We start from the raw sequence: 26,281 nt of genomic DNA, 5'->3' as shown, positions 1-26,281 counted from the left end.
CTTTCTAGGGGCTGTAAAGGCATTAAGCCTTTTCGAGTGGGCCACGCCGGCCACTCGAATGCACTTTATGTTCCAACGAGGTGACCACGTCCACAACCCAACCAAATGACAGAGGCAAACCTTCGCGGAGTGTCTGCTAAAATCAGGCAGACGGGGCCACTCGGCCGCTGCCCAAGGAACCCAGGGGCCCTCGTCACCCTGGAGCTGCTCAGATCTGGACGAGCAGGGTACCGCGGGGCACTTCCTGAAACCTGGGGACAGCTCTTCCTGAGAATGAAAATGAAAATATCACACAAGGGCCTGAAGCCTCAAACTTCAGCCCAGCATATTCAAATCAAAGAGCTGACCAGGTGGGCTAAAAGCAGCTCATCTTGGGAGATGGGTCTGAACTCACCGCCATGTTCCTCCCAGACAAGGGACAAAAGGAGGCAGAAGGAGCTCAGGTCAACACAGAGGGGGTCCTGAAAGACGAAGCCCTCTGGCTGGCACGGGCCTCCTGCCTTGGCGATCTGGAAAGCTGGGGGAGCCTTCTAAGACTCAGCAAGTGGGTAAACTGAGGCCTGGACTCTCAGACCAGGAGAGTCTCCCCTCGCGGTCTCCCTGGAGTGACCTCATGGTGTCCCCTTGTGATCTCCTCTACAGTGATCTCACGGTCTCCCCTGGAGTGACCTTGCGGCCCTTCCTCAGGTGCCTTGTGGTTTTTCCTTGTGGTCTTCCATCATTGCACGTGTGCTGCATGACGGGCCATTGATGTACCTACATTCAGCTTCCACCAGGACTGTCTGCAAGTTTGCATCTACGGCGTCTGCCTCTAACGCTGGGTCAGCATTGTCCTGCTTGCTGCGGTCCCGTCAGCTCAGGCACTGTCACCAGAGAGTGGCCTCCATGAGACTGAGTTTGGAACATCCCAGGAGTTCCCCCACCCCGTCCTATTAACTGGGCCTTCAGGAGAGATTTTCAAAGACTTTGAATGCCAGGATTCTTACTGCTAGGGGCCAGTCAGCTGGACTCCGCTCCCCCTGAAGCCTCCACAGCAAACCAGAGTTCCCGGCGTCCTTCCTGGAGGAGACCCATGGGGGCGATGGCGCCACGTGCCGACCCCGGCTGACCTGACCTGACCTGACTCTGTCCTGCGTAGCATGGGCCACGCCGGCCACTCAAATGCACTTTATGTTCCAACGAGGTGATCACGTCCACAACCCAACCAAAGCCAAAGCCATTTCTTGCTGAGTTCCCACCTTGGGGCCACAGAGCACAGCTGTGGAGGCCACCCCTGCCTTGCTGAGGGGATCCGAGCCTTCCAGGAGGGGCTGGGCAGGGCCACAGGCTGCAGGGATCCCGAGGCTTTGGGGGGATGCAGGTGCAGCCGCTCACCTGGGCCAGTAGCTGCGTCCCCCAGTTCTGCCAGTGTGACTGGGGACTTGAAGTACATTTGAATCAAGTAGAGATAAGCACCCTTATGTCTATGTTATTTCAGATTTAAAGAGGCTGTACACTTTGCGCTTTTTCAGAGAACCAGGCTCGTGCCTGGCTCGCTGGCTCTGCCCGTGCGGGACTGTGGAGAGGCCAGGGTGGGGGCTTGGCACCCGCTCTGCCGGAGCCTTCCACTTGCTTCTCAGCCTGGGGCAGGGGCTCTGTCCCAGCGGTGCCGGCAGGTCCATCCTGCTCAGGCTGTGGCCATGGGCGCCTGACACGGTCCTGGCCTGAGTGGGGATCAGCAAATCCCTGATACACAAGGGACTGAACAGCAGCTCAGAAACGGCTCCACGCCAATGTGTATGTGATCTGTTATGTGATGGGGCTGTCTGTATCTTGGGCTCCCTGTGTATGTGGGAAGCTTGTCTGTGCCACTGCCCCTGGGGCACTCGCTGCCTCTAGAGTTCTGTGTGCCCTCATGTGCTACGCTGAGCACTATCTACCCTGAGTGAATTTGGAGTGGCAAAGGCTTTAAAGCACAGCTGGGACTATATCGGAGCAGGGCCACTCTCAGATCCATCTGAGAAAGGCGATTGCCAACCCTTGGTCGTCACCATCACACACAGCATGTTATAGACACACAGAAAACCCTGTGTGTGCCCGGGATGGAGGGGAGAACGTCCCAGTGTTTCTCTCTCTCTCTGTCTCTGTCTCTCCCCCCTCCCTCCTTTCCTTCCCGTGTCCTTCCTTGTTTCTCACGGGAACCTCACCAGGAGCCTCCATCTGCCCTGCCCATCACTAGTGGGGGCTCTGCCTTAGGCCTGAGCATGGACCCCACGGGGGTGGGAGGCACTGTGGCCCCTGCAGACACCTCTGTGTGTGGGGAGTCAATAGCTGCACCCCCTTATACACGAGGTTATTCCTATGTGGGAGTGTGGCCCCAACGTGGCCAAATTTTTCCAAGAGAAGCAAGAAATCCAGGTTTGATCTGAAATGAACCCATGTTTCAGTCCTGGCCAGTGATTCAAATCAGAACATCTATAGCTCAGGCTAAAGCACCCTGTGAGTGATCCAGATTCCCAGGTGATGTGACTGAGCCAGATTCCCAGGTGATGTGACTGAGCCAGGTTCCCAGGTGATGTGACTGAGCCAGGTTCCCAGGTGATGTGACTTAGCTGGGTTCCCAGGTGATGTGACAGAGCGGGGTTCCCAGGTGATGTGACTGAGCCGGGTTCCCAGGTGATGTGACTGAGCCGGATTCCCAGGTGAGCATCTCCTCTAAGCCAGCAGGCTCTCCGTGAGGAAACTCACACCTTCGCCTTGTTGGACAAGAGGATGGAACAGGCTTGCACGTCCACCTTCAAGGGCAATATTACAGAAGTTGACCTGTTGTGAAGCAGAGCATGAGAAACAGGCTGGAGACCAGCAGGGCTGTGCCCAGAAGGACTGCAAGGCAAAGCAGGCAGTGAGGACACTGAGACCCTCCAGCCTCGGTGAGCAGTGAGGACCCTGAGCCCCCTCCAGGTTCAGTGAGCTTTGAGGACCCTGAGCCCCCTCCAGCCTCAGTGAGCAGTGAGGATCCTGAGCCCCCTCCAGGTTCAGTGAGCAGTGAGGACCCTGAGCCCCCTCCAGGTTCAGTGACATGGGAGCTGCGGGAAGCCCCAGCGGCTGCTGGATGAGGGTCCTGTGGGGACCGTCCTGCTGCCCACCCCAGAGGGGCGAGTGCGTTTGTGGTAGCTGCTTGCTTTGGGTGTGTGGGGGCTGCCACACTTCTGCTTCCCAATCTCCTCAAACGTCAGACGTCTTGTGTGGCTCCCACCACTCAGAACAAGGCGGGAAGAGCGTTTGGGAAACCCAGTCCCAAAGGAGCAAAGCTGATGCAGCACAAACACCAGAAATGGAAGCCACAGGGTGCCCAGCTCGCACAATATGAAGCTGTCAGTGGGCAAGAGGCTTTTAGAGTTGATTTCTGGGAACTGAATTGTTCAGTTAGAGCAAATGCATTTCCATGTGAATCAATGTGGCTGTGTTTCCTTCTGAAAGATGTTACCAGCCTCTGTTCCACCAACAGAGCGCCAGCACCCCATCCACCCTGCTCCTTTCCGCCAGTCTCATGGGTGAGATGTATTCTGCTGCCTTTCTAACTGGGCGTTTCCCAGGACAAGCGAGGCTGGCCATTTGAGTTGTTGTATTCATGTTTCTCCGGAGTCCTGGGTCTCCCCGTCTTTCCATTTTGTGGGTTTCCGTGCCGTGTGGGCGGCTATCTTGGGTCGTACGCTGTGAATATCTTCTTCCAGGCTCCCCTTCCCTTTTCCTTATGGCAGATGTTGTCATAGAAAAGTTTTGTTATTTGGGGGCTTCAGAGTTTCTTGCATTGCTTAGGAAATTTTTCTACCTCCCAGTTACAAAAATATTCTCCTATTTTCTTCTATTGCATTTTAGAACTTTTAAATAGGAAGCATAGTATAGTGAACCTATCTGGTTCCAGCAAGCACCAATTCAGGCGAGGGATTCAGAATGAATGTAGAATGTCACACACTGTGACTAAAGACACAGCCTTTCTGAGGACACCCAGAAAGCAAGGGTCAGTGAAGAGAAAGTCCCCAGCTATCCCATTATGCTAGGCAAGTCCCACACCTCACATTATTTCTTCCATAAATAACCCCCTACATGTCTAAAAAGATAAGCTGTGTTTAGCAAACCATAACCACAGTCCCACTGTCGTGTTTAAAAAGCTATCAATCATTCCATCAGATCAATCAAACTGTCAACTTCACAGTCAGCCTTCACAGGCCCTAGTTATCCACGAGCACCCACCGCTAACTGCAGCGTGTTGGAATCAGTGTGCGTGCGTCTGGACCCTGCGGTGGGATGCTGGGGTTCTCCCGTCTCCCCCTTTCCATGTGATTTACCTGCAACGACATGGCCGTCTGTCCTGCAGAGCCTGCCACCTCCGGGACCGTGCTGGCTGTGTCTGGGCATCATTCAGCTCAGCACTCTGCGGCCTGTGCTTCCTGTAGCTGGTAGCTGGCTCTGGACGCTGTGTCAGATCCAAGTTTGATCATTCACCCTGGCTTGAGGGTCTACCTTTATGTGGGGTATAATCTGCCATTGGTGACATTGCTTTGATTCATTGATCAGGAGGTGCAAAAGGGCAGTATTCTCATGCCATCATTCCCCACTTGGCAGCTGGAAGACTCATCCAAAGAGAACCTTTCCCTCGTTTGTACCGTATTAGTAGTACAGTTCACCTAAAAAAGACAAGATTAATGTTAGATCCTGTTTATTTACCTGTTTTTTAAAAGACATTTGATTCACTGGCATCCTGCAAGAATAATCATATATGTGTGTGTGTATATGATTTAAAGAATTCTTTTATAGGATAAATTACTTACAGAAGTCCCTTCTAACACATGTATGTTTTACAATCACCTGTTTGCATTAATTATATTTATTAATGGTGCTTTGTCAGTATTGACTTGTTCAGATTACCGAATAGCAGTGATCAAAAGGTATCAATTATAAGTTTAGTATTGTTGTGAACCCACCGATCTCAACATTTCCGCATGTTTAATCCCCGTAGCTACCGTCCTTGCAGGTGTTAAAATTATCCCAGGAGCCTGCCGTGGGGTCTGTAAAGGTGACGCCTCTTCTCTGTCTGGATCCTGGGAGGCTTTGCGCACTTGCGTGCCCTCTGGCTGAGAAGGCATCTAGGCTCTGCTTGTACCCAGAGACCACCGCCTCCCCAGGGGGCTTCTCTACTAGTTTGACAGTTTGGCAGTTTGTGTGTTTGGCAGTTTAAGATGACTAGAATTTAGTTCCGTGTGTAGAGTGAGCCAGGGTCAATGCAGTCACATCTCAGAGCCCAGCGTGGTGCTCAGTGTTCCCACGGAGGCCCTGACTCGGAGGCTGACGGTGTGGCACGGATGATCTCAGAACCCTGGCAGGGCAGCACCGGGCCCACAGGAAACGGTGGCTGAGCCAGCACGCGGGACACTCCCGTCCAGAGCCACTTGCTCCCACAGCCCACACTGCAGGCCAGAGCTGCCATCCAAGCCCAGCTGCCTTCCGCATGCTGCACAGATGAAGCCATGGGGAAGCACGCACATCATTTGCGAGCTGGAAAGTATGTCAGTCACTTTCTTGTGAGTAACAGGCAGCCGGAAGGCCTTGTTTTGACATGTTTAGATCTGATGAACAACGGGAATAGCGGGCGGCTCAGGGCAGGCTGCCCAGCTGTGTGTTCTGCAACTCTGACTCGCGGGAGCCACTTTCTGGGCCAACAGGCCACATATGCAACAGAACCGCCTTCCCTTCGTTCCCGCGGGGAGCCCGGGGGCTCAGTGAGAGTGGCGGGTCCCGCTGCCATCCACCTGCTCAGAGATGCTCTGGGGCCACCTTACCTGGGAGGTTCCGTAGGGTTTTCTTTCACATGGTTTTTCCTAAAGACCCCCTCTGTCAAGGGGATCTAGCAGTAGTTCGATGGAAATAGTATTTCACAAAAAAGTTTACTTATTCCTCATAAATTTAAATTTCCATTAATTAACCAAAGCTTGATACCTCTCAAAAAGTACTCTTAATAAGTAGGAATGGATTAATCCTTTAATAGTAAGAATAATGCAAGGGAGCTCCTGGAGGGAAAGCTACTTCCCATATTCAACTGTAATTACTATATGCCAGCTTTTTCCTCTGCCATCCTCAGCTCTAATGAACACGAAGAACAGGGTTATGTCAGACACGCAGTTATTTATGGAGTGACTATTCACCGAGTTCCCACTTCTGTTAGGGCGCTCTGGGTGCAGCTGACCCGGGGCTGGGCACTTGGGACTCTCACGGACTCCGCTGTGGAGCCTGGATCTCCACGGGGGGAGTTACGGGTTCAAAGAAGGTGCCTTCATGCTGCAGGCACCGGGAAGCCCCAAATGCCCCTGCTTGTAACACCCAAGTCCCATCCAAAAGGAGCATCCATTTGGGGTGCCCTGTGGCAGGTACGGCTGGGGCATGGCTATGCCAGGGAAGCCATGGCTCCCTGTGTGGGCTGCCCCTCTGCTTGGGTCCTGTTCCACATTAACCTCACTAAAATGCAAACTCCATCATGTTTCTCCTCTGCTGAAGCTGCCCTGTGGTTTCCGAAGGCATGAAATCCAGACCTTCAGGTCCCCCAACCCTGGCCGCCTCCTTTGCCCACCTCCATCGGCCACCTGAACAGAATGACTCCTGCGAGGAGAGGTGCGTGTCCACATCTCTAACTCCAGTATTTCACTCGCCCTGTTCCTTGCACATTGCACGTCCTTCTGGTCTTCTTTCTGAAACCCTCTGGCCCTTCTTCTCCCGGCCCCAGGCTCTTTAGAGCACACTGTGGTGCCACCTCCCGCCCGGCGTGCGGAGTCTGTCACTCACTCCAGCTGCAACCACGGGGCACGTGCCTGCCTCCCTGCACCCGGGGAGCCTGAGAGGCCGGGCGCTCCTTCCAGTTCATCTTTCTTGCTGATCCCTGGGCCCTGCAACAGTGCCTGTCACATAGTATGAAATTTTTTTTTTTGAGACGGAGTCTCACTCTGTCTCCCAGGCCGGAGTGCAGTGGCGCAATCTCGGCTCACTGCAAGCTCCACCTCCCAGGTTCACGCCATTCTCCTGCCTCAGCGTCCTGAGTAACTGGGACTACAGGTGTCCGCCACGACGCCTGGCTAAATTTTTGTATTTTTAGTAGAGACGGGGTTTCACCATGTTAGCCAGGATGGTCTGGATCTCCTGACCTCGTGATCTGCCCGCCTTGGCCTCCCAAAGTGCTGGGATTACAGGTGTGAGCCACCGTGCCTGGCCCATAGTATGAATTTTTAAAATGTTGACTGAATGAAAGAAAGGAGGAGGGACAGAGGGAGGAGACCAGGGAGGTCCGAGTCACACTCGTGTTAATCAGATGCTTCCGATCTGCATGCTGTAGGACGTGGCAGCCGATTTACCGTAACCACCACCGGAAGGCACCTCGCTCCTGACTCCCGAGCCCTGAGTCCATCGCAGGGATGAGCGGAGATGAAGTCATCGGCCAGACTCAGAAGCTGACATGTTCCCCGCCCGGCACCACCACACCCCAAACACTACAGCCGGTGTCTTCCTTTTCTGAAGGAAACATTTGCAATCAGCACAGTGAAAGGGAAAGGATAAAGTCCCCCGGGGAAGAAGTGTGACCAGGGAGGAGGAGGGAGGAGACCACTGGGACTGCCCCCCCCGGCCCCCCCTGTGCCCGGCCGGTCCTTCCTCCCGTTTCCATAGCACCTGGTTCAGGCATCGCTGTGGGCACTTTCTCACTTGGCCCCATAATTCACACTTGCTTATTCACTTCCTCCACTAGATAAAAATCATGCTGGGGCACGGCCGGCTTCCCAGCACCGTGTCCTATTGTTCAGAGCATGGGGTTATGCAGGGCAAGGTGGATATTCTCCTTGTCAGTGGAGCCAGTGGAGAAGCGGGGAGGCCCCCCTGCCTCAAGGTGCTGCCGTCTTCAGCTGGGGACCTGTCCTCCCTCTGCCGCAGCAGGGCCTCCCAGGGACAGGTTGTGGATATGGAAGCCGCACTGAGCATGGACTCCTGGAAGGCTCCGGTCCCTGGGCCCTGCAGGAGGGTCTTTCACTGCAGAGCTTCTGATGACATCGGATGGGCTCTGAGATCCCCGTGAAGACCACACGGCCCTCTCGCTGTCGACTGAGCTGTGGAGGGTGCACGGGCACAACTCACACTGTTCTCTTTTGGCTTAAAATTATTGACATGCACATCCAGGCTGGAGTGAAGGGTGCCAAGCAGGAAGGAAGGGAAACAGCCCAGGGTTGATGGATAGGCTCTGCTGGTCCTAGGAAAAGGTGTTTATGAAACTGACCCAGAAAAAGAACCCAGCATGAAGATGCTCAAAAACATGTGTTGGGTGCAGAACATGACTGCAATCTGGAGTGTGTACCCTCCTGTGTGCATGTGTGAACCCGGGGGCAGAGTGTGTACCCTCCTGCATGCATGTGTGAACCTGGGGGCGGAGTGTGCACCGTCCTGTGTGCATGTGTGAACCTGGGGGCGGAGTGTGCACCGTCCTGTGTGCATGTGTGAACCTGGGGGCGGAGTGTGCACCCTCCTGTGTGCATGCGAGAACCCGGGGGCCATGAGAGGGTATGTGCAGAACATCACTGCAATCCAGACTGGACACCCTTCTGTGTGCATGTGAGAACCCGGGGACCATGTGAGGGTATTTGCAGTAAAACCCAACTAGATAAAAGCAGCACGTGAGTGACAGCTGAGTCTACTGTGGTCACTCTTCCCCTGGGCCTGGAAAGTGGTGCCTCTGCTCAGGTGCACTGAAGGCTGGGGGCCAACCAGGCATCCGCCCTGCCCTGAGGAGAAGCGTGCTGTCCGAGGCTGGGGGCCAACCAGGCGTCCGCCCTGCCCTGAGGAGAAGCGTGCTGTCCGGGAGGGCCCTGTGGGCACCAGAGGAGGCTGAAGAGTCTCTGAGCACATCCTTCAGAAATGTCAGCTCCGGGACGACCACATTCTTAGGGCAATCCCATGGGGACCGAGACCGGCTTCTCCTAAGTGATAGGCACAGGTGCTGGGGAATGGCAGGCCCCAGGTCTGCAGAACACTCACAGCCTCGACTGAGGGGCAGGCGTGGCCTTGGCTGCTGCCCCTCAGCTGTGGCTCCTTTCCGAGTCACTGGGTGCTCCCCAGCTTGTCCTCCCTCCCCCACCCCAGGTCCAGTATGCTCGATGTGGAAGAGGAGTCAGGCAGAGACCTGGGCTCCTTCTGCCCTTCAGGAGCTACAGGGCCCTGTCCATCACAGATTTTCCCAATATCATATCTTTGGTTCCAGAGTTGTTTGTTTTTATGCTTCGACAGCAGCCAAGGTTTCTGCCTGTTGGTGTTGAGTGAAGTTGCCAGATGGACATCTTCAGACACAACCACACCTATTCCTCTTGTCATCATCTTCTGTTTCGAGTTCCTACTCCTCACCCTGGCACCCAGGGCCACAGCACTGTAGAGGATGGTGACTGGTGACATCCCTCACATCCTCCAGAAGACCAAGAGAAGCCCCATGTGCTGGCAGAGGCTGGCAGGGCAAGAGACAGATGAAGAGAGCAGGTGGAACAGTGCATCCTCACGGACGGCCGAACAGACCAGCCCAGACACCCGAGGCTTGCAGGAATGCCTTGTCCACATGCAAACACGACGCCGTCACATCTGTCCCATCTGCTGTGGAATGATGTACATTCAGTTTTAATCTCACAGCACATTATTATACCTGAAAAATGCATATAAAGCATTACCTTTATAGCATAAGAAGGAAGCTCAACAGACATTTCCACTAATAGAAAGTAAATCTATAAAAACAGTTACAAATAATTAGCAGGATATGATGGCCACAGCCATCCCTCTGTTAAATGTTGCGAAGCAGATAAACCACGTCTCAACAAAGACAGATTTTCTCCTTGACCTGACCAACATGGAAAGGTAACTGGGAGGAGGAAGTGTTTCCTCAGCTCTGACTCAATATTTAACCATGGATGGTGAATTCGTTAAAGACAATTTAAATAGCAGACAAAACCATTTCAATACAGCCAGGCGCCAGTGTTCCGTGCCTTGAAAATAAGAACAAGACATACAGGTGCAATAGAACAAAGAAATGTTGTCCAGAGAGCGCACAGATGTGGAGGAGAAATGGTGGGAGGTGCTGCACAACCATATACGAGTCCACCCACTCAGCTGAGTCAGGCCCCTTCAGTGTCCACACAGTGGGCGACCCAAACTCCGGGTAAATAGGCTGTGTAGATGTGGAGTTCTCCACATAAACCTAGGGTGAAAACACAGATAACCGTGATAAAAGGACAAGGGAAAATATGCATGCAAAAGAGGAGGGTGTGTACTCCACATAGTGACACTGTGCACACCCTCATGGTAGCACACCATGTCTACAGTGACATAGGTGCAGGCACTATCTACAGTGACATGGGTGCAGCCACCCTCCACAGTGACATGGGCGCACCCACCCTCCACAGTGACATGGGCGCACCACCCTCCACAGTGACATGGGTGTACCACCCTGCACAGTGACATGGGCGCAGGCACCCTCCACAGTGACATGGGCGCATCCACCCTCAGCAGTGACACGGGCTCACCCACCCTCCGCAGTGACATGGGCGCAGGCACCCTCCACAGTGACATGGGCGCACCCACCCTGCACAGTGACATGGGCGCAGGCACCCTCCACAGTGACATGGGCGCACCCACCCTCCACAGTGACATGGGCGCACCACCCTCCACAGTGACATGGGCTCACCCACCCTCCACAGTGACATGGGCGCACCACCCTCCACAGTGACATGGGCGCACCACCCTCCACAGTGACATGGGTGTACCACCCTGCACAGTGACATGGGCGCAGGCACCCTCCACAGTGACATGGGCGCACCCACCCTGCACAGTGACATGGGCGCAGCCACCCTCCACAGTGACATGGGCGCAGCCACCCTGCACAGTGACATGGGAGCACCCACCCTGCACAGTGACATGGGTGCACCACCCTCCACAGTGACATGGGCGCACCCACCCTGCACAGTGACATGGGCGCACCCACCCTCCACAGTGACATGGGCTCACCCACCCTGCACACTGACATGGGCGCAGCCACCCTCCACAGTGACATGGGCGCACCCACCCTGCACAGTGACATGGGCGCAGCCACCCTCCACAGTGACATGGGCGCACCCACCCTGCACAGTGACATGGGCGCAGGCACCCTCCACAGTGACATGGGTGCACCCACCCTGCACAGTGACATGGGCGCACCCACCCTGCACAGTGACATGGGCGCACCCACCCTCCACAGTGACATGGGCACAGCCATCCTCCACAGTCACATGAACACAGCCAGCCTGCAGTGGGACACAGCCAGAGCCCTGGTCTCTGGTGCTTGTGTCTGGCTGCCTGCTGCCCAAGATTGCTCTGACGTTTGGGAACAGTGGCCTCACCTGCTGCACACACAGTTGTGTCAAGAACAGCACTGTCCTCCTGCCCCATCCTGAATTGGTAAAAGGTACCTGCTCCCACTGTCCCAGGATCACTGGCAAGTGCAGACCCCGAGTGTGCAGACTTGGGTGGCTCACCTGTCTTCCCCACCATGCCTCTCTAAGGCCTGAGATGCAAGTCCAGCAATGGAGTGTTTTCCATGGGCCCAGAGGCTTGTGTGTGGTCACCAGAAGCTCATTATCCTCAGAAGGCCCTGGGCACTCTGTTCTTCTCCAAATGCATGCACTCATTGTCTTGTAATTAAAAACAGCGATTTTTTTCCAGAGGGCAGGACACCCCGCATTCATCTTTCTTTTCTTCTTGAAATAAGCTTTGAGGATGGACGCCCACAGCCCAGGGTGGAGGCAGCCCTTTCCCATGGTGGCCACTGACCTGCAGGCAGCACCTTCAGGTGGTTCTCTCATTTCCACATAAAACAAGCTATGTGCCAAAGACAGTGGGAAGAAGGCCCAGAGCACCCCTTCTGCAGCCCGGGAACGGGGTGGGGAGAGCTGCCTCTGTGTGCGTAGTCTTCCCTGAGGGTCCTAGCCTCCCCCCACTGCCTGGGTCAGACCCTGGGCCTCTGGACTAGGCGCTTATCTGTAAACCATGACGAGAGAGACTTCACTTCACAGGGGTGCCGTGCGGAGTCCCTGAGATGAGGGGGCAGTTGCCCAGACCTAGGCCGTGGCCCGGCAATCGCTTGAAGAAAGTCTGTTTGGGGCAGGGAAGGCAGTGAGCGAGGAACGCACCCACTGCACGAGAGTCCTGGGTGACCCAGACCGAGGCTGTGGTACTTGGGGGCTCCTGGCAACACTAGGGCTGTTACCCACCTACAAGGCCAGTGAATCCAAGGCATTTCCCTCCAGGCTGGGCTCTTCTGGGGGTAGATGTGGTGAGACTTGGCGTATGTGGCATGGAGCCCGGAGTCTGGCAAACGTTGCCTTCATCTTCACGGTTACATCCTTGTCTCATTCACTATCTGATCATCATTCTCCTCAGCACTGACATGTGGTCGCACTAAACCTCAAAATAAATCATGACCTAGCCAAGGGGTCTCAACCAAGGCCAGTGACAAGCAGGACCCGGGCGCTGGGCTCTGCAGGAAGCCAGTGAGGTCTGTCATCCCTCAGTAGCAGGCAGGGGCTCCAGCGTCCCAGGCGGCTTCAAGCTGCACCAAATCAATTATTCAAAGGGCGCTTGCGGGCGCTGCGGGCATGATGGAGGCACAGCAGAGAGACAGTGGAGACAGACACGGTGGAGAGACATGGCGGAGCCCAAGGAAAAGCCAAGGAGCCGGGGTCTAGGGAGGGCGAGGCCCCAGGTGCAGTGGGAACGCCGGGACCTGGGAGTGCCCTAAGCCTGGGCACAAAGGCCGGGTGGGCAAGGCTGTCAGAGTGGACAGAGACCAGGATCCCGGCCTGGAGATTGGGTCCTGCGGGGCAAGCAAGCAGTCTAGGTGACTCCTCCTGGGATGGCCCATTCTGTTCAGACATAGGCCGAAAATCAAGGAGGCGCAGCCCCCACAGGAACCCGGGGCGTGTACCGGGGTCAACGGCGCCCTGCGGACACACATGAAGGGCTCCCGGGGCTGCGTGCTCCAGGCCCCAGGATGGATGTACCTCTGGGCAGGCGGGCACTTGGCCAGACGGCTTCTGCGGGTGTAGGGAGCACAGGACACCCTCGCCCCTCACCGCACAAGCCCTGTTCGGAACTGGGGCCAAGGAGGCATGCTCCTGGGTTGCCGGGTCTCTGTGCTCCTGGGGCGGCCTGGTCTCTGTGCTCCTGGGGCGGCCGGGTCTCTGTGATCCCGGGGTTGCCGGGGCTCTGTGGTGAGCAGTGGGGCAAGTCCCCTGTCACCAGCCCCCGGGGCGTCTGGTGGTCCCTAAACTGCCCACTGCTGCTGCCCTGTGCCTGAGGGCTGCAGCCTGCATGCTCCTGTGCCCCAGCTGCTGGCCAAGCAGGGATGACCTGGAAACAAAGTTGCTGCTACTCAGGAGCCGCTCTGAGTGCTTTCCGGCCCTACCACACGGGTTCCAGTGCCGCTGCCCCAGGCCCTGCCTCAAGCCAGTGCTCACACCCCCAGGGCACAAACATCAGGGCCGCTGGTGCCCTAGCAGCCATGCATGAGTGCCTATGCCCCAGACCTGGGCCTGCCCACATGCTGGCCACTCCCTCCACAGCCCGGTGAGCCTGCCCCTCACTGCTCCGTCCTGGCCGCAGGCCACCGTACTGCCTGGGAAACCCACTGACCACCCAGGCTCCAGATCAGAAGGACGGCCCCGGGCTGCGCCACATGCATCCTGGCAGCCATCTGGGTGAGGCTGCGCACGGCTGGGAGCAATAAACTGGGTGCAGCTGCGGGAACTGGCCCTCCTGCCTCTGCAGGCACAGGAGGCCCCGGGCCCGTGGAGCAGCATTTGCCAAAACTACCCACCGACCCAGCAGCTAAGAACAGGCATTTTCTTCCTCAGGGCAGCCAGGGCTGTGACAGGCATTTCTCACTGGGGGGCCCAGTGGCCTGAGGTGTTTCTTCTTGGGTTTCAGGGCTAATGACAGGCATTCCTTGTTCAGGGACTTAGGGCTATGCAGATGTTTCTTGCTGGAAGACCTTGCGTTCCTTCTGGGATATCCAGGGCTAATGACAGGGTCTCTTGGTGGATCCGGGGCTACGGGAGATGCTTCTTATTGGAAGGTGCAGTGCTCATGACACTTTTCTGCTGAGCGATCCAGGGTCTAGACCACGTGCTTCTTTTCAGAATCTATGTCTGTGACAGACAGGTTGTGTTGGAGGATTCAGGCTACCACAGAAGTGCTCACCAGGGAGATCCAGGGCTAATGACGTCTCTGTTTTTAGGTGTACTCTTCCCTCCCCTAAAAATCTTCCCACAAGGAGGGCAAGAGCCCAGTGACTTGCCAAGCACTCCCCCTGGGCCCAGGAACCAACTGACCAGCACAGCCAGGCCACAGCCCAGCCTCCTTCTACCTCTCACTGATGGTGCCTTCCACCCCAGGAAAACCAGTCGCTTGAGACACAGTTCATCCTGACGAGGCCGTGTGGGACTGGGCCTCTGTCGGATGGGGATGTGCTGGGGGAGCCTGCACCCAGGGGCGCATGCACTGCCACAGCCATGGCCTTTCTGCGTCCGGAAGCCTCTCGCCTGGACCGGCCACGGCTCCTGAGAACCATATGCTGGCTCCATGCCCTTGATCTTGGGGTGCTTGGGAGGGAGGAGAGGAAAGGGGCAGAGAGGAGAGAGTGTGCAGCCCAGGTCCAGAGAAGACTGTGGGAGCAGTGGGGAAAGACGGAGGGGCTTCAGCAGAAAGACGCAGGTGGAGAAACTGCCGGGGAGGGCAGCTTTGCTGGGCCAGCTCCACCACTGACGCTGCGGCCGACGCCCTGGCCAGGTGCCCTTGGCTACTCTGCAGGGGCAGTGCCAGCTATGGTTTCTCACTTCAACTGCTCAGTAGCAGGGAAACATGATTTATGGGGAGAATTCCCCAGAGGCTTAAAAAAAAAAAAACAGAAAAAGAGAACGGACAAGGTCTTTGACCAGCGAGCAAGGAGACTCATTTGGCACAGAAATCAGTAACTCAGAAACAGGCCTGCAACCCTGGATCAAGGGAATCCAATACAATCTCCTCTTTCTGGCTCAACAGAAAATAGAACAAACTCGGGGCCACTAAAACGGAGTGTGCCCCAGCATGCTCAGCCTTCTCCCGGCTGACTGCGCTGGTCCCAGGGTTACCTGTGTGAGCCACGCTCTCCAGCTCTCAGCCGCAGGTTCCTGAGTCCCTGGGGCCACCTCAGGCTCCTCCAGAGACTCCACTCTCCCTTTAGGACAGGGCCTGGCAGCCGTTGTTCCTAAAATCCCAGCTTTTCCTCGTCCAAACCATTAACCTTGCTGTCCTTTATTAGGGCTCTTGGTCTTGCTGGTCATGCAATAGAAGGGAGGGCTGGGCAAAGGTGGCACCCAGAGCCCAGAGCTGGAGCTGATGCCCAGAGCAGGTCTCATGGTAAGAGTCCAGGGACAGTGCCCACGGGGGACGGGGATCCACCAGGCACTCTGTCCTCATACGCTTACTTGAGATTAAAAGAACGGGGACAGCATCCTGCCACTGAACCTGGGCTGTGACCACCGAGACCGCACAGGTGGTGACAGAAAGAATCTGCAGAATGAGCTCCTGGTGCCCGTCTTCTGTTGGAGGAAGGCGGGCACCACAGCCACTGCCCTCCAAGCTACAGCAGGAGCAGGACATCACCATCCTGGACACACACTGCCATTTTAAGTTCCCCTTGATTAAAAAACCACCTAAATCTGCCCCAAAACATCAGCCTAACAGCTAATGTCAGCATAAACAGAAACACTGCAACACTAAGGTAAACTCCCCTCTGACTAGAGACATCCCAACCCTGCAATAAACTTTCCCTCACATAGAAACAATCCAAGCCTGTGATAAGCTCCTTAATATTCTAAACCCTAAATATTGTTAGTCTGTAAGAGAGAATGCTCCTGACTGAAATCAGCCAGAAGCCCCTCTCAGGTTTATTCTCCAAAATAAACCTGTCTTGGACTGTCGAACCACTTTTCATGATTCTTTCTTCTTTCTTTAACTCTTACACCAAGTTACAGCCAGGAGCAGGAGACCAGGTCCCTGGGAGGAAACTGACCAGACCCGGTTCAGAAAGAAGGATGGATGGCAGGTGGCAGGTGATTCATTTTACGATGATGATGATTTTTTACAGACACGATCTCACTCTGTGGCCCAGGCTGAAGTGCAGGGGCAGGATCATAGCTCACTGCAGCCTCGATCTCCTGGGCTCAAGCCATTCTCCCACCTCAGCCGGCCGAGTAGCTGGGACTACAGATGCATGCCACCACATGTGGTTAATTTTTTAATTTTTTGTAGAGATGGGGTCTTGCTATGTTGCCCAGGCTGGTCTTGAACCCCTGGCCTTAAGCAATCCTCCCACCTTGGCCTCTGAAAGTACTGGGATTGCAGATGTGAGTCACGTCACAGTGCCCAGAGATGAGTAAGTGAGAAATGACTGCTCACCTATCACCCAGATACTTCTGTCCTGCATATGAAACCCTCTTCTGCACATTTCACGACACATTTGCGAGGTCATCCCCCATCGCTGGGAGCTTTGTTAGCCGCAGGTGCGTATTCATCTTTGCACCATGACACTGACAACATAGTCACTCATCTTCTTTGAGAAAAAACCAATCTGTTTGTATCCAAAAAACCGCAAGAAGCCATCGGTACCTCTTTCAAGATTCATTTTTAGTATTTCTGTACCCAAACCCCCCGATGAAGAAACAGCACATGGCACACAGCAGCCTGGCCCAGGGTTAAGGTGAGGCATGAACCCGGCCCAGGGCTAAGGTGAGGCGTGAACCCGGCCCAGGGCTAAGGTGAGGCGTGAACCCGGCCCAGGGCTAAGGTGAGGCGTGAACCCGGCCCAGGGCTAAGGTGAGGCGTGAACCCGGCCCAGGGCTAAGGTGAGGCGTGAACCCGGCCCAGGGCTAAGGTGAGGCGTGAACCCGGCCCAGGGCTAAGGTGAGGCGTGAACCCGGCCCAGGGCTAAGGTGAGGCGTGAACCCGGCCCAGGGCTAAGGTGAGGCGTGAACCCGGCCCAGGGCTAAGGTGAGGCGTGAACCCGGCCCAGGGCTAAGGTGAGGCGTGAACCCGGCCCAGGGCTAAGGTGAGGCGTGAACCCGGCCCAGGGCTAAGGTGAGGCGTGAACCCGGCCCAGGGCTAAAGTGAGGCATGCTTTCATTAGTCCCGTCAGGAGCTCTTGGCTCCTCTGTGACTGCAAATCATTTGCACCCACCTGCGAGTCTCTCCTTCTCAGGATGCACCCTCATGATACATGGAGCAAACACAATAAGCCCTGATCTCATGGGGCTGCTTGGAAACGGGCTGAGGTATCGCACCCCGAGTCACAAGCTTGCGGGAAATGCAGGCACCCATGACCCAGTGCCAGCATGCTCTAGTGGTGTGGGGATTTTGCATAACATAAGGTGAAGCTGTGAGCAGAAGAGGGGCCTGTTGGGTTCTCTGCATCTTTAAGGACTGGGCCTGGCCCACTGACTGCTTCACAGGAGAAGGCAGCATTTCCTGGGGACACAGAGAATCTCATAAAGACACTTCTCTCCCAGGGTTAAAGCAGCTGTGCGGTGCTTTGTACCATGGTCAAGCTCATGCTCCATGGAGGGAACAGGACACGCGGTGGGAATCACGTGGTCCCCTCCTGTGAGTCGATGTTTACTGTGAAGCCTCAGGGGTGAGAGGAGCAGCCAGCTGTGAGTCTTCTCTGGGTGGAGAGCACATGCCGACAGACCAAAACCCAGCACTGGCCCATGGGGAGCTTCCTGTCACAGGGGAGCTGAGGTTTCATTCCAGCGCAAAGAGAACATCTACCAAGGAAAGAGGCTCATGATCCCACTCACACAGAAAAACGTGCCCCTCGGGTGCACACGGGCAGTGGGTTGTGGGGCAGGGGAGCAGGAACACGATCCCATCCACACGGAGGAACGAGCCCCTTGGGAGCACATGGGCAGCAGGTCGCAGGGGAGGGGAACAGGAAGCAGGGGCTCCCTTTGGAGGCTCCTGGAGTCATCCAGGGCTGATGTGAGGAAGCGTCCGCAGAGCTCAGAGAAAGGTGGAGGCTGCAGAGCCAGGAGTAGAAGCTTCCAGGCATTTTTTGGAAATGGGATTAACAGGACTTGGTGAGGCCTGAAATATGTGAGTGGTGGGGCCAACAGAAAGACCGAGGGGAAAAGACGGGCCTCCCAGGACTCTCAGGTTGCTGCTTGAAAATCGGGGTGCAAGGCACTGCCCCTGCTGAGACGAGAACTCCATGCAGGAGTCATCACGTGCCACTGCCACAGAGCACCACGTTCACACCCAGCTCAGTGGAGAGACTTACAGAGCATGAGGGACTTGCCCAAACATCACACGGCTCACCCACCGTGAAGCCAGGACCCTGTCTTCGATCTGCTGACTTCCTGTCCGCCAGCACTATGCGCTCCAGAGGCACTCTGCAGGGTCAGGGCTAGGAAAGGCCACTGTCCGTGATGTCGGCCATTCCTCACCAGGCCCAGCCAGAGCAATGGCCGGGCTCGAAGAGGAGCGTTTCCACGGATGGAGGCTCGGCGGACAGTGCCCCTCTCCACTACGAACTGACAGGCAGGTGTAGAGCAGCGCTGGTTCTCTCTTGGGTCCTCGTCCATCTTCGTGAGTGGCTGTTGCCTGTGATGCCATTTCCATCCATGAACTCCCTGGCCTGTTTTCCTGTGCTTTTCATTCCTCTTCTCCCTGCTGATGGTGGGAGTGTTAAAGGTCATGCCCTACACCTCAAAAAGGGCAAAACTTTCTACTCCCCAGAGTGACTGTACATTTTAACCTTTGCACTCAAGCCAATTCTCAACAACACTGTCTACACGCCCTGCAGCCAATGCGGCCATCCAAACACAGATGGAAGATCTTCAAACTCCTGCCAGGTATAATGCATGCCAGCTTCTCCATCACCTGACAAATACCGCCCATGCTCAGCATCTGCACGCCTGGGCTCACCTCCCCTGAACACCATGTCTTCCCACTGCCTGTTTAATCTGAGCTTTTTCTTCTCCACGAATAATGCCACCTCCTCAGTTTTTACAGTCTCATTAGTGTATAATTAAAGTGTGATAAACAGCGTGCAATTGAAGTATTATCAGCCTAACATATGTATACAGCCAAGAAACCAGTACCACAACCTAAATAGCAAATCTTTTCCTCTCCCCCAAATCTCTTCCTGCCCCTGCAGGCTCCTGTGGGGTGTCTGAGCCCCTCACCAGGCTGCCCACAGGCCCTGGTCCTCCCCATGTGACCCCTTCCCAGGGCTGCCAAGTGTCCTTATGACGGGCAGAGGGCACGGAACAGCATGAGCCGGGAGTGTCCCCAAAGCAAAAGCCACAGTCTTTTTAATCTAATCTCAGACTGGATGCCCCACACCCTGTGCCCTGCTGTTGGTGAGAAGTGCACCATCAGCACAGACCATGCTCAAGCAAGGGGTGGGTCACACCCCTTACTCCTTGGCTCAAGCTCTTATCTCTGCTACCCTCACCCCTGCTCACCCTCAGCCCTGCAGATGCAAGCTCAGATCATCGACTCTTCCAAGTCCTCAGGTGGACAACTTGGAAGCTCTGGCCAGCTTAGAGTTTTTCCTTTCCTTATTAGGGCCATTTCTTATCTCCCTTCCATCAAACACGTCCTTCCATGGGCCACCCACGATGCTATCTCAGCACCAAAATGCTGCAGGCACTGGCCGGACATGCAGAGCTGGCTTGGATTCTGGAGATGCCCTGATCCCTGGGGTCTCTTCCAAATGCTGGTAGGAGGTTTGGAAACCACCACCCAATTCATCTTACCGAGCCTCCTAATTTCCAGGCTTCTAAGCTGCCCTATTCAATCATACGTTGCATTAGAGCTTCATTGTTATGAATTCTTATTCATTCATTACTTGTCTGTATTAATGCCATCTGCCTTATATTTTTAAAGTTCTTAGAAACCAAAATACCCTCCTGGTGTTGATTTAACCATGTGCAGTGTCCACAGGGCACAGTTACAATTATATGCATAATAAATTATTCTGATGATAATTATTCTTCGAACCCAGTAATGATTTAAGGACCACCTGGTTTGGGATTACCTTTCAAGCTTCTTTACTACTTTAAAATGACCCCAAAGGCCTAAGCTGTGGTAAACCGGAGCTGAGGACAAAAATTACAGAGCCATCGCACTCCTTCACAGGAACCGTGGAGGCACTTGGTGCACGGCCCTGCACCTGTGCCCAGAGGAACCTGGAGGCGCTCCGAGCACAGCCCCGCACCTGTGCTCGGAGGAACCGTGGAGGCGCACGCACGCGCACGGCCCCACACCTGTGCCCGGAGGAACCATGGAGGCGCAAGCACGCGCACGGCCCCGCACCTGTGCCCGGAGGACCCGTGGAGGCGCACGCACGCGCACGGCCCCGCACCCGTGCCCGGAGGAACCCTGGAGGAGCACGCACGCGCGCAGCTCCCGCACCTGTGCCCGGAGGAACCGTGGAGGCGCACGCGCGCGCACGGCCCCGCACCTGTGCCCAGAGACCGGGAAGGGAGGGCCTCCAGCCATGCAGGCTGCACGGGTCGTCGTGCTAGACTTCACCTTTTGTCCTGGCTGAGGTCAGGGAAGTCGCTGTGATGTTCCTTTTAGAAAACTTAGCCGAGGGCTGCGCATGCTCACAGATGGCGAAGCAGTGAGAATAACAGGACTCACAGTTCTCTCTGATAACAAAGGAATGACAGAGCTAATCGCTGCGATTCCTAAGAAGTGAGGAATTAATTATGACATACGAATCTTCACCTGCCATTACTTCAAGAACAGAATTAAAGTAGGCTTCCTCTCCTGCACAGTGGTGGGATTCTTCGGTCTGTCTCCCTGGCACCGGGGCGTGATGCTGGACAAGGTCGAGGGGTTGCGGCTGCTGAGGCTGCTCCGGGAGCTCCTGAGGTCCTATGCTGGGCCCTCCCAAGTGCCCCTGCTCACGGCAGACAGAGGGAACTTCCTGCCCCAAGAGAGGGGCGTCAGGCTGGACCGTGGCCCCTGCTCCTGCAGCTCCTAGGCCCAAGCCAGTGGGCCGCCCCACCTGTGTTCGCCTGTGGTCTGGCGGAAGCTGGCCACGTTTCCTTCCCTCCCTGTCACCGGTCACCAAGGGCCACGGGACAGAATTGGTGGTTTGGCTGCGGTTGGTGAGCTGGGTCCGTGTGCCCGGGCTCCCTCGCTGCGTCTCTCTCTTCCGCGAGAACACAACGCACCTCCCTGGCCTCACACACCCAAACTTGGCCCCTACCACAGCTGAGTCGCAGCAGAAAAGGCCATGTTGAAATAAAACCCTGGAGAGGAAGACTGCGAAGGCCAGGTGGGCTGCGGAAGCTGAGGTTTCCTGCGCCCCAGTGGATTCTGCCCACAGCGTGGAGCTTGGTGGCTGAGCCCAGAGCAGCGGAGAGGAGAAGGGGCCGAAATGTGGAGCCCGAGGTGGCTGCAGCAGGCTGGGGGCGCCCGGGGACTCGCTCGGGGCAGCGCAGCCCCTTTCCCGGGCCCTGGGCGCGGACCCTCTGCACACGCAGTCACAGGCCCCAGCCCCACTGTGGCCGAGGACCAGGCAGGCCCCAAGCTCTTCCTCCATGGATTTAGTAATTCGTTTTCAGGGCAAGCTGGAAACAGGACATGAGCCAGGCAAGGCCGCGCTCCTCTCCACTGGCCTCCCCGCGCTGTGGAACTCGCTTGCTCTTACATAGAAAAGTGAGTTTCCTGGTGAAAAGCTGAAAGCACAACGGATCTGGGCGTGGGTTTTGCCGCTTTCTCCTGAAGGAAGCCACGGACGTCTTGGCCTCTTTGAAACCTGTACATGAAATTTGTTTTCTGGGGCAGGCGCCCTCTGCAAGAATCTTACTTCCCTTCAGCCCACCGAGATGGCTGCGGCGTCCCGGGCGCTGAGATGGGGGAGCCCTGAGGGCGTCTCACCGGGAGGAGGCCGTGGGCCCAGCGCGAAGCCGACCCGACATTCCCCCATGAGCCCGGGAGGCATCGCCACATCACTGGGTGGAAGGCGCCCCGCCGCCGGCGCAGGCCCAGACCCCGGGGAACGCGAGAGCCACGAACCTGGGCCAGGAGCCGCCGAGACCAGCCCCGGCCGCCCCAGCGCTCCTCCCGCCCGGGCGCGATGCGGTGAGAATGGCCCCGGGCGGGAACGTCCCCTGTCGGGGCGGCCATGGGAGGCACTGGGGTCCCTGCTCTGCGGCCGCCCCGGTGAGGAGGCGCCCCGGCCACCCCGAAACCCGGGAGAGGCGATGCTGGCGGTGACACCGTCACCCACCGCGAGGACCCGTCCCTCCTCCTGGGGCTGCGCCGGCGCCGGGAAGCTCCCGCGACCCCCGCTCTGTCCGGCTCAGGCTCAGGAGGGCGCCCTCGGGTGTCCGGGAGCCGCATCCTCACCTCCAGAGCGATGGTGGCAGGACAGGCCCACGGTCCTCGTTCGCCCCGGGGGTGCCTGGCGGGGAAGGCGCCCGAGATGCTGAGACCCCCGAGAGCACAGGCAGAACTCAGAGGAGGCTTCTGAGGGAAAATCTCAAATTCACCTCCTTGAAGAACCGACTGTCCAGTATGGGCCCTTAGCCACATGTGGCTACTTAAATTAATTTAAAGTGAACAGAATTAAAACTCCGCTCCTCAGTTGCAGTGGTTGTGTCCCAGCACTCACGTGGCTGTGGCGACCCTCAGTGCTAAGAATCGTCTCCACACCCCGGAAAGTTCCATGGGACAGGGCAGGTCTAGGAGTTGCTGGGTGGTAATCACAGACACATGTGAGAGGCACATGCACACACACACACACACACATACAAACACACACGTAAACACACACATGCACAGACACTTCCCCCTGGCAGTCATCCTGAAGAAGGGGCTGGCTCGCTATGGCGCTAAGCCTAGAACTCAGTGTCTCCTGGAGGTACAGCTTCAGCTCCAGAGAGGAGCCCTGTGTGTCTGCAGTGGAGGCCAGAGGAGTTGGCAGCCGCAGTACAGCGTTCCAAGGATGGAGGGTTTGGGAGGGGCTGCTTCACTTGCATGGGGCTCACCAGGGTCCACGGCTGGGGGTATTGGGAGCACTGAGGCAGAGAGAGTCACGGCCCAGCACCATGGAGCCCACATCCTCCAGGGGAACCCAGGATGGGGACTGAAATGACCAATCCCCATGAGGGCGCTCAGGGACTCATCTGCACCTCCCTTAGCCCCTGGACAGAGCTGCCGAGAAAGGCATCAGTCAGAGCCACGCAGGCCTCCTGAGCCGAGTGCTGGTAGAGAGGGGTGGCCTTCAGGAGGAAGACTGGAGGAGAGGGAGTTTTCTAAAAGGAATGCAGTGTCATTGCCACAGAGAGCCCTGATGGATGTCACACTGCCTCCCCACAGTGTCTGCTGCCTGGCTGGACAAGCCCAGCGCTCCAGCTTGGAGGCTCCTCCCAGCTTAGCAGTGGGGATTCCAGCCGGGAGAAGGCGCCTATATTTAAAACTAAAGTGAATAATGGAGACATTTTCTATTCAGGCTTAAAAAAATAAATTTACAAAAGACATGGAGTTAGGCCCTGGTCCTTCTCTGAAGGGAGGTCATCCGGCCAAGGCCCCACCCAGTCGCCCTAGTGACTCAGGGATCCAGCTTGGCTTCCCTGAAGGAAGGGCCCAGCGGCCAGCATGGCACCCAGGGTGGGGAACAGCGCAGGGCTCCTCACGGGCTCAGGCAGGCGCCACTCTCACCAGCACTGGGATTGCTAAGCCTCACAGAGAAAAGTACCATGGTTCTTTTTTAACTTCGCAGGAGTTAAATGTAACCGCATTTCTTGCCATGGTTAATTATTTCTCCATGTTTCCTAATTACCAACGGACTCTGCTTGCCATCAACTCCTAAATTAATTCTGATTATTTGGATGAGTGATAACAGGATTTCTGTTGCTCCTAATACTAAAACCAATCATTTGAAATTCAAAAGCACAGACATTTTTTCAAGAGCCTTTTCAGAACCTTATTGGGAGTGGGCACTCAATAAATGTTTGCCAAATTGATTTAAACCCTAGACTGAACTCCGTTAATAGCATTTTAGGACATTCATCTCGCCACTGAGCAGGTGCTCCTGCCAGCCCCTGGGAGGCCCTGAGGGCTCTGACTGGCCTGGGGCCTCCTGCTGCTTGGGCTCCCATGTGGCCTCAGGCCCTTGCGTCTGACCTTACCCCTGGCCCACGGAAGCAGAGCTTCTTCCCTGGAGTAATGAGTCCAGGCTCTGCTGATGAGCTGAGAGCTGAGAATGTCTCAAGGTTGGTGTCCAGAGGCTGCATCTTGGCTTTTTCCCTCAAGGTCAGAGGAGGGGAAATGATTGGGCACCAAGATTGGTGTCTGAGCACCCGCTCTCCTCCATGGGGCAGCAGATGGACCTCCGCAGTGCCCTCCAGCCGTGAAATGCCCAGGACCTCTGAGGCAGGCCTGGCCCCTGGGACTTGACCAATCCAGATGCAGGGCCTGTGGGTCCTAAGAGAGCCACCCGAGGCCCTGTCGCCGGCATCCACTGCAGGAGGCAAGACCCCAACATCGCCACCTTCCACAGCACACACAGCCCACTTGCTTAGCTCCCTGTTGCATTAAAAGATTTTCACAGAAATGACTTCCTCCAAGCTCAGATGCCGCTCTTTCCCCCTTTCCTGGAGGCTTTCTTGTTCTGTGCTCTTGAAACAGCTGCAGATCCTAGTGGCTTTGAGACACAGAGGCGGCCCGGCAGATTTATCATTCACTGCTAGCTCGTTAGACATTGTCAAAAAGCATGATCTGGCCCAGCATGAATGTTTTAACGGTGCCAGGGGGAGAGGAGGGAGGAGGGGAAGCCGAGGGCAGGGCTGGAAAATCGGGGAGGGGAGGAAGGAGGGGAAGCTGAGGGCAGGGCTCGAAAACCCGGAAGAACCGGGGTGGCGGGAGGGGGACCACCCCGCAGGCAGGAGGTGTGCGTCACAGACATGCTGGGGCTGCACGGCACTGTCCCAACCACAGGTGGTGTTCTGGAGGAAAACGCTACTTCTGCGTCTGACGGCCAAAGTGCCCTTGTTGCTACTGATCCGCTTACTGAGTGGAGTTCGTAAACACCAAGTACCAGGTGCTTCTTTCAGCAGGAAACAGGCCATCTGCTAGTGACTCAGAGGACGGAAGAGAATGTTCTTGAACGTCTTTCATGCTCAGGTACCATGCAGGTATAGGGCAGGTGCTCTGCTGGTGTGTTCACGCTTTGACTTACTTGTCTGAACCATCCTCCGGGAAGAGTTTTTCTTCCAACTTGCAGAGGAGGGGACTCAGCACAGCCAAGTCTCAGTGGCTCCCAAAGCCACGGATTAATGATCAGCAAATCTGAGGTTTGGCCCAAGTATTTAAAATAACCCTAATTTATTGCAGTGAAATTCACAACTGTAACGTGGAGCATGTGGAAGTGAACGGTTCGGTGTGTCCCACCTCCATCTAGTCCAGAACGCTTCCCCGACTCCAGAGGAGGCTCTGAACTCCCTGCACAGTTTCTCCTCACCCCCTGATCCTCCAGGCTGGCAAGTAGCAACCTACTTTGCCTCCATAGATTTGCCTGTCCTGGGCATTTTGTATGAATGGAACCACACAACACGTGGTCCTGTGTATCTGGCTTCTTCCACAAGCTTAACGTCTTCAAGGTTCATGCATGTTGTCAAGGTCTTACAAGTACTTCTTCACTGTTGTTTAGGGCCGAGTAATATTCCATCTCATGGATGGACCGCATTTTGCTCGTCCATCTGTTGATGGACATTTGGGCTGTTCCCACCTTCTGGCCACTGTAACGAATGATATTATGAACATGTATGAACAAGTATTTGCTGGAGTCTGTGTCTTCAGTTGTAGGAGTGGAGCTGCTGGATCGCATGCTAAGTCCATTTGCTGTAATGAACTCTTGGGGAGCCCCTCTATCGTTTCCACAATGGTTCTCACGAGCAATGCTCAAGGGTCCCAAATTTCTCTGGATCCTTTTGCCATAACGTCTTATTTTTTTTTTCATTCTCTTTCTTCCTGTCTTTCTGCCATCCTAGTGGTTGTGAGTGACCCAGGTTTTTTTTTTTCTTTATGTCAGTTGGCCTGATTCTATGACTCAGAATTTCTGTTGACTTTGGTTCCTGCTTAAAATTGAAAGGGGCTATCATCGACTTCAATTTCTCTAGCAAAAGTTAGAATAAAGATTACT

General features: G+C 55.7%; 1 long non-coding RNA gene and 1 other non-coding gene across 4 annotated transcripts; both read right to left on the bottom strand.

The window, feature by feature from the left end:
- Positions 1–1,748: 1,748 nt before the first annotated feature.
- On the bottom strand, positions 1,749–24,877 carry LOC107986675 (uncharacterized). 3 transcript variants are annotated; one of them, XR_001744484.3, is made up of 2 exons: positions 24,270–24,877; positions 1,749–4,667 (listed from the first exon to the last, which is right to left on the bottom strand). It is a non-coding gene; the product is annotated as an uncharacterized LOC107986675 (transcript). The 3 variants fall into 3 exon arrangements; XR_001744486.3 differs by lacking the exon at positions 24,270–24,877 and adding an exon at positions 22,153–22,422; XR_001744485.3 differs by lacking the exon at positions 24,270–24,877 and adding an exon at positions 4,965–5,067.
- LOC100131532 (uncharacterized) lies at positions 16,735–21,790 on the bottom strand. The gene is made up of 3 exons (NR_027434.2): positions 20,656–21,790; positions 17,152–18,786; positions 16,735–16,803 (listed from the first exon to the last, which is right to left on the bottom strand). It is a non-coding gene; the product is annotated as an uncharacterized LOC100131532 (long non-coding RNA).
- Positions 24,878–26,281: the final 1,404 nt, after the last annotated feature.

The sequence above is a fragment of the Homo sapiens genome, chromosome 6 (assembly GCF_000001405.40).
Source record: "Homo sapiens chromosome 6, GRCh38.p14 Primary Assembly".
NCBI lineage: Eukaryota > Metazoa > Chordata > Mammalia > Primates > Hominidae > Homo > Homo sapiens.
This window is presented reverse-complemented; position numbering and strand designations above follow the sequence as displayed.